We start from the raw sequence: 9,546 nt of genomic DNA, 5'->3' as shown, positions 1-9,546 counted from the left end.
CTGCAGGAAAAAGGCAAGGTGACCTGCTCAGCGGTGGATGAAGGCTGAGACCTAGGTTCCCTCCCGCCTTCCTTCCCCATTTCCCCAGGGGAGCCAGCCCAAACCCAGGATGCCCCCACCATTCCCCAGGAGCCTGACATCTAAGGCCAGGGGTGGGAGAAGGGATGTCCTGGGGAGACCGGTGCATGGGGACTTTGTCCAGGCCCTCCAGGAGCCAGCAGGTGGAGTAGAGCTGGGGAAAATTAAGCCAGAGTGGGGACGAACAAGGCTTTGCTGGGTCACTCTAACCAGCTGGTGTTTGGGGACTCACCTGGAGAGACACTCCTCTCTCAAGGCCTGGATGGCAATGTGGGTGATGTTCACGGACATCAAACAGAAAGGGAATTGCTGGAATGGAGGGGCACCCAGTCAGCAGCAACTCCAGCTCTCACTGTGTTTCCTGTCATCTGCAGCCTGGTGTGGCTCGCAGGCAAGCACAGCCCCAGAGGCAACAGCTGATATTATTATTGCTTCCACTTAATTTTCCTAATAATCTTCTTCCCATCTTACAGATGAGGAACTAAGGCTCAGTGACCTTTAGTAACTTTCCTAAGGCATGGGAACCAGGATACCAACTGAGGTTATTTGCTCCAGAGCTGATGTGCATAACCCCCGTGCTAGCTCTCCAGCCTCTTCATCATCCTGACCCGTCAGCTCTCCTTGGCCTGCAGCAGACCCAACCCCTGGGCCCACATCATCTCCTGGTGTCAGGATGAAGACAGAAGTGAGAGGCTCGGTGCTCTAACTAGCCCTACGGGTTCTTAAAGTCTCCTCTCCCCTTCTTTGGGCTTCTGGTTGTCTGGCTGATCGTGAGCACCTCATCCTAAGACAGAGAAGACGCACGTGGGTAGAAGGTCATCCTGACTTGGGGGGACACCCCATCTCACGATAACACAGAGGCCTGAGAGCCAGCTGTGCGGGTCAGACCCCAAGAGGAGGCAGCCTGAGTCTGGCAGGGGAGCTTCACCAGGAAGGGCCTCAGAATCCCCTACAGGGACAGCTTTAATGCTCTATGTTTAGTCAGGCAAGCTCCTTTCTTTAATAACAATGAAACCAAGCTTGCAAAATCCCTGAATGGAAAGGGCCTTTTTTTCAGGGAACTTGCAGACATGACATGTTATTTTCCCCTGTTGCACATACACAAGGACACCCAGTGAGAGGAACACATAGACCAGTGCATTCCTTAGTACAGAACAAGAACCAAGGTCTATTTATCCCACCTGCTTCCCAGTTGAAGAAAAATCCATTACATTATAGTATAGAACTGTACTGCCCAGTATGGTGGCAACCAGCTGCATGTAGCTATTTAAATGAGTTAAAGATGAAAAACAAATATAAATTCAGCTCCTTAGTGGTACTAGCCACATTTCCAGTGCTCAGTAGTCACGTGTGCTTAGTGGCTGCTGTACTGGATGGTGCATTTCCAATATCTAGACCACTTCTGTCACTGCAGAAAGTTCTGGACAGTGCTGAACTGCAGAAGGTCTTCTGGCTCCACAGAGATTTTTCTCAGGGTCTTCCATGATACCTGAATTCCAGATCTTGGCCTGGCTACCTGGTAGCTGTGTGTCCTTGAGAAGGTCACCCAACCTCTGTGAAACTCAGTCTTCCCATCTCTCAAAATCAAAAAGGACATAAACTTTGAGTGCTGTGCAGAAAAAAGTTAACACAGCAGGCCTGAGACTCCTTAGAGCCTGAGCCTTAGAAAATTCTTAGATCAGGCCATGGCTGACAGCTGAGAACTTGGATTTTGAGATGGTTCCCATCATTCCCTAACATTGTTCCTCAACTGCTCATGCAAACAAGATAGTTTTTGCTGGCTGGGCCCAGGGCTCACAATCCAACACTTTGGGATTACAGGCGGATGGATCACTTGAGTCTAGGAGTTCAAGACCAGCCTGGGCAACATGGTGAGATCCTGTCTCTACAAAAAAATTTTTTTTTTTTCAAAAAAACAAACACAAAAAAGATACTTTATGCAGAACACCAGCTTTCCCTCTGTGATTCCAGAGTTTTGGTATGTGCTAGGCAGAGGGTGCCTACATGACCAGCATGTCATGGTAAAAACCTTGAGTACTGGGTACCTCTAATGAGCTTCCCTGATTGGTGACATTTTATACGTATTGCACAATTTGGCAGTGGAAGAATGAAGTGTGTTCTGTGTGATTCCACTGGGAGAGGCCTCTTGGACATCACCACCTGGTTTCCTGTGGAATTTGTCCCATGTAATTCTTCCCTTTGCTGATTTTGCTTCTGTTGTACTAAATCAGAACTGTTAAGTATAACTATACGTAGAGTCCCTTGAGTCTCTCAGGAATCATTGAACCTGCAGGTGGTCTTGGAAATCCAGCGCTAGTGCCACACTGGGTAGAGTTAAGTCACTAATCATTACAACAACTCCAAGAGACAGATTTTTTTTTTTTTTTTTTTTTGAGATGGAGTCTTGCTCTGTCGCCCAGGCTGGAGTGCAGGGCAGTGGCGTGATCTCGGTTCACTGCAACCTCTGTCTCCTGGGTTCAAGGGATTTTCCTGCCTCAGCCTCCCAAATAGCTGGGACTATAGGCACGTGCCACCACGCCCAGCTAATTTTTGTATTTTGAGTAGAGACAGGGTTTCACCATGTTGGCCAAGCTGGTTTTGAAGTCCTGACCTCAAGTGATCTGCCCACCTCAGCCTCCCAAAGCGCTGGGATTACAGGCATGAGCCACTGCGCCTGGCCTTATGAGACAGATTTTGTCAACACTTAACATTTTATCCCACTACCCACCTCACAGAGTTGCTGTGAGCATTACTTAAGATCACATGTGCAAAGTACTAGGCACAACACCTGGCCCAAGTAGGTATTAACAAATGTTCGTCGTTATTATACTTGCCTCAACATGGGTAGCTGAGAACACCATTGATGCTGACCTTCATGTATACCTCTGTACCTTCAGGTATTGCCTATTTAATGATCATATATACTTGCATAATATCATCCCTTCCCTTGATTTCTTTCAATCTAAAAATAAATATGAGAAAAACAGTATGGTAACAACATTATTAACAGAGGACCTGAACTTAGTGTTCATCCATTCTCAGGAACATTCTTTTTTTGAGACGGAGTTTCGCTCTTGTTGCTCAGGCTGGAGTGCAATGGCACGATCTCGGCTCCCACAACCTCTGCCTCCCAGGTTCAAGCGATTCTCCTGCCTTAGCCTCCCGAGTAGCTGGGATTACAGGCATGCACCACCATGCCTGGCTAATTTTGTATTTTTAGTAGAGACAAGGTTTCTCCATGTTGATCTGTTGATCAGGCTGGTCTCGACCTCCCGACCTCAGGTGATCTGCTTGTCTCGGCCTTCCAAAGTGCTGGGATTACAGGCGTGAGCCACCACACCCAGCCCGGGAACATTCTTAAAAAGCCCACTGATTGGCCAGGCATGGTGGCTCACTCCTGTAATCCCAGCATTTTTGGAGGCCGAGGTGGGCACATCACTTGAGGTCAGGAGTTCAAGACTAGCCTGACCAACATGGTGAAACGCTGTCTCTCCTAAAAACGCAAAAATTAGCTAGGTGTACTGGTGGGCACTTGTAATCCCAGCTACTTGGGAGGCTCAGGCAGAAGAATCGCTTGAACTCAGGAGGCAGAGGTTGCAGTGAGTTGAGATTGTGCCATGCATTCTAGCCTGGCAACAGAGCGAGACTCCATCTCAAAAAAAAAAAAAAAAAAAAAAAGCCTACGTATCAAAAAATGGTAAAAATTGGATTTCAGATCTAAATGTCTCCTTTCCTTCAGCAGTTCCCTCAGACCTAAAAAGCATTGTTTAGAGCTAAAATACTGCACTGAAACTGACTAAAACACAGCAGAGGAACTCAGACCTGGACATTTTTCTGCTTCCATTTACAATTTCATTTATCCTCATGCCTCACGTTTGGGCTTAGAAACCTTTGTCTGCTGAAGCAGGAAGACCAGAGTATCTTCTGCGGCTGCTGCTGACCTGGCCCCAACCCTGAAGATTCCAACTGAGTGGTTCTGATGGGGAGAGTCTAAGCATCTGCACTCCCACTGCTATGTGACTTTTCAGGGTGTGCTGCTGGCTGGGAATCAATGCTGTACAGAGCCCACCGCCAGGCCAGCTGTCAGGAAACAGGGGCTCTAGGCCCAGCTTCACCACTTAGGAGCTATGGCTTTGTTCAGAAACATTGTGACTCTCTTACCCACACATTCCTCTGCTGGAAGGGGAGATTGACAAACCAGCATCATCTCTAATTTACTACAAAAGCCCTCACTGGAAATTATTCTTAACTTAGCAGCTGGTAGGATCCATTAAAAAAAAAAAGTAAGTTAGACTGTGTTACTCTGCTGCTCAAAGCCCTGCAGTGCCTCCTCATTTTACCTAGCGTAAAACCTAGAGTCCTTTCCATGGCCTGCTAGGCCCTGCGCCCTCTGGCCCATCATCTACGACCACCTCTCCTACTGCCCTTCCTGTCAGGCCTCTGGGCCCAAACCTGTACGTATAAATCCAGATGGCCTGAAGTAACTGAAGAATGACAAAAGAAGTGAAAATGGCCTGTTCCTGCCTTAGCTGATGACATTACCTTGTAAAATTCCTTCTCCTGGCTCATCCTGGCTCAAAAGCTCCCCAACTGAGCACTGTGACCCCCACCCCTGCCAGCCAGAGAACAACCCCCTTTGACTGTAATTTTCCACTACCTAACCAAATCCTATAAAATGGCCCCACCCCTATCTCCCTTCGCTGACTCTTTTCGGACTCAGCCCGCCTGCACCCAGGTGAAATAAACAGCCTTGTTGCTCACACAAAGCCTGTTTGGTGGTCTCTTCATACAGACATGAGTGAAACTTCCTGTGTTCTTTTCACTCCGGTGGCTTCCCTACTACTCATTACCTATGCTAGACACACTCCTTTCTTGAGACCTTAGTTCTAGCTAATCCCTCTGCCTGGTATGTTCTTCTCCCAGATATCAGCTTGGCTAACATTCCCACCTCCAAGGTTTGGTTTAAGTCTCACTCTCTCATGACAGCTACCCTGACCACCCTATAAAAATACTGTAACTGTCTCTCCACATTCTCTCAACTCTATCCTATTTATTTTTCCTTAGTACTTATTACCTTCTAGAGCACTCTATAATGTATTGATATATTGAGCTTATGGTCATCTCTGCTGGAAGAATCTTTGTTTTATTTACTGATGTATCCCAAGTACCAAGAAGAATAGCACCAAGGGATGCTGAAAAAATATTCATTCAGTGAATGAATGAATCCTAGGTCCCATGAATATGGGATAGACAGATGGCAGGAAACAGGTCAAATTTGTTTTCTAAAATGGAGAGACTATTAAAAAAATAAAATTAGCTGGGCATGGTACGGCACACCTGTAGTCCCAGCCGAGGCTGAGGTGGGAGGATTGCTTGAGCCTGGGAGGTAGAGGTTGCAGTGAGTTGTGATTGTGCCACTGCATTCCAGCCTGGGTGACAGGGTGAGACTGTTTTAAAAAATAAAAATAAAATGGAGGGATTGCTACCTTTTGCTACTTGAGAAAACCATAAAACCCAACCCCAGAGGGCAGGTCCAGACAGAGACAGAGGAGCTACTGAAGCACCTCTGGCCTGTTGGTAAGTCTGTGGCTCACATAACCCATGGAGGTCCATCTCCTCCTCTTGGGCCCGTGGAGGCTAACTCTTCTCTTTCAGGGCCAAGAGATGCTACCCCTGTGCAAGGCATTTCCTCAGGGAGGGCAGAGAGTTGAAACAGCAACAGCACAGCTGTGCTTGCTACTTTTGTACATTGTCTCTAATTTTCCCAATGAGCCAGCTGAAGTTTCTATTGTGAAAACAAAATATCTTGGGTTCCCCAAATCACTAAGCTAAAGGGAAATGTCAAGCTGGAAACTGCTTAGGGCAAACCTGCCTCCCACTCTATTCAAAGTTACCCCTCTGCTCACTGAGATAAACGCATATCTGATTGCCTCCTTTGGAAAGGCTAATCAGATGCTCAAAGAACACAACCATTTGTCCCTTATCTACCTATGACCTGGAAACCCCCTCCCTGCTTTCAGTCATCCCGCTTTTGCTTCCAGTCCTCCCACCTTTCCGGAGGAACCAATGCTCATCTTACATGTGTTAATTGATGTCTCATATCTCCCTAAAACTGTAAAACCAAGCTGTGCTCTGATGAACTTAGGCACATGTCATCAGCACCTCCTGAGGCTGTGTCACAGGTGCGCATTCCCAACCTTGGAAAAACAAACTTTCTAAATTAACTGAGACCTGTCTCAGATTTTCAGGGTTCACATTTTGGTAACCACAGAGGGATTCTGAGTGGAGGTACCCCTGGCCTTTGACAAATCTCCTATCCATGCTTGGTACCAGCATGAGCTAACTTTATGGCTCAAAACAACAGAACAATTTGCTGAGGTCTGGGAGTACACCCTCCAGAGAATCCCTGATCTCCCCAAATTTGTTCAAGATCTTTGGCTGGGCGTGGTGGCTCACACCTATAATCCCAACACTTTGGGAGGCCAAGGCGGGTGGATCACCTGAGGTAAGGAGTTCAAGACCAGCCTGAGACCAGTAGCTTCTCTATCTCTGTCTGGACCTGCCCTCTGGGGTTGGGTTTTATGGTTTTCTCAAGTAGCAAAATGTAGCAATCCCTCCATTTTATTTTTATTTTTTGAAACAGAGTCTCGCCCTGTCACCCAGGCTGGAATGCAGTGACACAATCACAGCTCACTGCAACCTCGACCTCCCAGGATCAAGCAATATGATATGGTGAAACCCTGTCTCTACTAAAAATACAAAAGTTAGCCAGGCGTGGTGGTGGGCGCCTGTAACCCCAGCTACTCAGAAGACTGAGGCAGGAGAGTTGCTTGAACCTGGGAGGTGGAGGTTGCAGTGAGCCAAGATTACGCCACTGCACTCCAGCCTGGGTGACAGAGTGAAACTCCATCTCAAAACAAACAAACAAAAAAACAAAAAAGATCTAAAGTTTATTTTGTTGTACAACTCCTCTTTTTTTTTTTTTTGGAGTTTTACTTGCTTTTAACAAGGAAGGTAAGATTTCCTGTTTCCATGACAATGGAAGGCAGGTAATTTCTTTATGGAGTTTGAGCTCACTTCTAACAGGGAAGATGAGTTTTTTTTGTTTTTTTTTTTTTTTCCTGCTTCTGGGATGGTAGAGTCTACAGCCCGAGACCCATCCCTAGATAAGTAACTGAATTGTCTTGTTTTTAAATTAAGGTTATTACATCCGTGTATCTTTCTGTATGTGCTTTTAAAGTGCTGGCCAGACGCGGTGGCTCACGCCTGTAATCCCAGTACTTTGGGAGGCCAAGGCGTGTGGATCACCTGAGGTCCAGAGTTCGAGACCAGCCTGTTCAACATAGTGAAACCCTATCTCTACTAAAAATACAAAAATTAGATGGACATAGTGGCACGCGCCTGTAGTCCCAGCTACTCGGGAGGCTGAGGCAGAAGAATCACTTGAACTCGAGAGGTGGAGGTTGCAGTGAGCCAAGATTGCGCCACTGCACTCCAGCCTGTGTGACAAAAGTGAGACTCTGTCTCAAAAAAAAAAAGTCCTTGTGACATTGAGTTACAGGGCTTTAACTCCTGGGTCTAAAAGGAACACCGTGTCCTGCCAAATGTTTTTTTTTTTTTTTGAGACAGAATCTCGCTCTGTTGCCCAGGCTGGAGTGCAGTGGCACAATCTCGGCTCACTACAAGCTTCGCCTCCCAGGTTCATGCCATTCTCCTGCCTCAGCCTCTGAGTAGCTGGGACTACAGGCACCCACCATCACACCCAGCTAATTTTTTGTATTTTTAGTAGAGACGGGGTTTCACCACGTTAGGCAGGATGGTCTTGACCTCCTGACCTCGTGATCTGCCCGCCTCGGCCTCCTAAAGTGCTGGGATTACACTCATGAGCCGCTGCACCCAGCCCTATGTCCTGCCAAATCTTTTTTTTTTTTTTTTTTTTTTTTGAGAAGGAGTCTTGCTTTGTCACCCAGGCTGGAGTGCAGTGGCAAGATCTCGGCTCGCTGCAAGCTCCACCTCCTGGGTTCACGCCATTCTCCTGCCTCAGCCTCCCGAGTAGCTGGGATTACAGGCACCCGCCACCACGCCCAGCTAATTTTTTGTATTTTTAGTAGAGACGGGGTTTCACCGTGTTGGCCAGGATGGTCTTGATCTCCTGACCTCACGATCTGCCTGCCTCGGCCTCCCAAAGTGCTGGGATTACAGGTGTGAGCCACCGCGCCCAGCCCAAATCTTAAACATTGACAGCAATTAAAGCCTCATCTTCAGGCCTGGTAGAAGATGCCAATCAGAATAAACTGCATTCCTAAGACACGGGGCCAGAAATTAAAGCTACTCAACTCTTCAAGGCCCAGGGACTATTGCGGAAGAGGTGGGTGCATGAGATTGCAAGAGCTGATTTTTTAAAGATAAAATAGGTTAAGTTTCTTTATAAATTAATCATGAATGTCAAAGGCACACTGATGCAAAAGCAGCACATGAGCCCCTGCATCAGATTAACAAGATTTTCTTGAAGCATTAACCAGCCCCTTAATAAAGGTTATAAAGGTTATAAAAGGCTTATGGAAGTTATATCTTATGGTCAAGATTAAAATTTTATAGATTGTTTACAAAATTTTGAAAAATAAATTTAATTGGCTTCATGCTGTTTTTATTAGGGCTTATTGATTGAAAAATCAAGTCTCCGCTCTCAAGGAATGGAGATTTTCACCTTCTTTTTGAAATCCTTGAGTTATTGCTTTGGTTAAAAGAATGACTTATCTTATAATGACCTGTGATCCTATTTTGTGATATCAAGTTTTAAACCTTTGATATTTGACAAACTTTCCAAAATCAAATCATAAATTATGTCTTTTTCTGACCTGATAAATCCTTTAAGATATTAGGCTCCATAAAGTCCAAAAATGACATAATTTGGCTTATTTGGTATAAAAATTATACAGGAAGCATTGTCAAATATGAAATGGTGTACGATTTTCTTTGGGCTGTATTTGTATAAATGTGTTATTGGTATGTGTTCCAAAATTATGGGAAACTCCTAAAATTCTGATATAACTTAGTGTACATTATCAGTAATAATTATAATTGTTATGTTAAATTATTCTGTGCCACAGAGATAACAAATTTCCTTGTCAACTGGGTCTTCAACAATGGCTTCCCTAAAACTTTTTGTCATCCACAGACAATTGTTGTGTTGTTTGGTCCTCTTTAGAAGGTGGTTTTATAATCAGCTATAAAAGGCCAGGCATGGTGGCTCATGCCTGTAATCTCAGCACTTTGGGAGACTGAGGCGAGCACATCACTTGAGGTCAGGAGTTCAAGACCAGCCTGGCCAACATGGCAAAACCCTGTCTCTACTAATAATACAAAAATTAACTGGGTGTGGTGGCAGGTGCCTGTAATCCCAGCTACTCGGAGGCTGAGGCAGTAGAATCGCTTGAACCTGGGAGGTGGAGGTTGCCATGAGCCAAA

General features: G+C 45.9%; 1 protein-coding gene across 28 annotated transcripts in view; it reads right to left on the bottom strand.

Moving 5' to 3' along the window:
- The window catches only part of ELMOD3 (ELMO domain containing 3), a 36,980-nt gene that overhangs the window by 1,611 nt on the left and 25,823 nt on the right, over positions 1-9,546 (bottom strand). For 24 of the 28 annotated variants that reach the window (NR_138132.2, XM_047445971.1, XM_047445972.1 and 21 more), the window contains one exon: positions 311-387. Coding sequence is in view for 25 of the 28 variants with exons in the window: in XM_047445971.1 (XP_047301927.1) it covers positions 311-387 (77 nt within the window). In the remaining 3 variants the exon portion in view is untranslated. Of the gene's footprint in view, positions 1-310; positions 388-2,912; positions 3,041-9,546 lie in introns of those variants that run through there. The other 4 variants (NR_138131.2, NR_138133.2, XM_047445977.1 and 1 more) reach the window with 2 other exon arrangements.

Source organism: Homo sapiens, chromosome 2, assembly GCF_000001405.40.
Source record: "Homo sapiens chromosome 2, GRCh38.p14 Primary Assembly".
In the NCBI taxonomy this organism is placed as follows: domain Eukaryota; kingdom Metazoa; phylum Chordata; class Mammalia; order Primates; family Hominidae; genus Homo; species Homo sapiens.
Note: the sequence above shows the minus strand (reverse complement) of the source record. Positions and strands in the feature narration are given on the sequence as shown.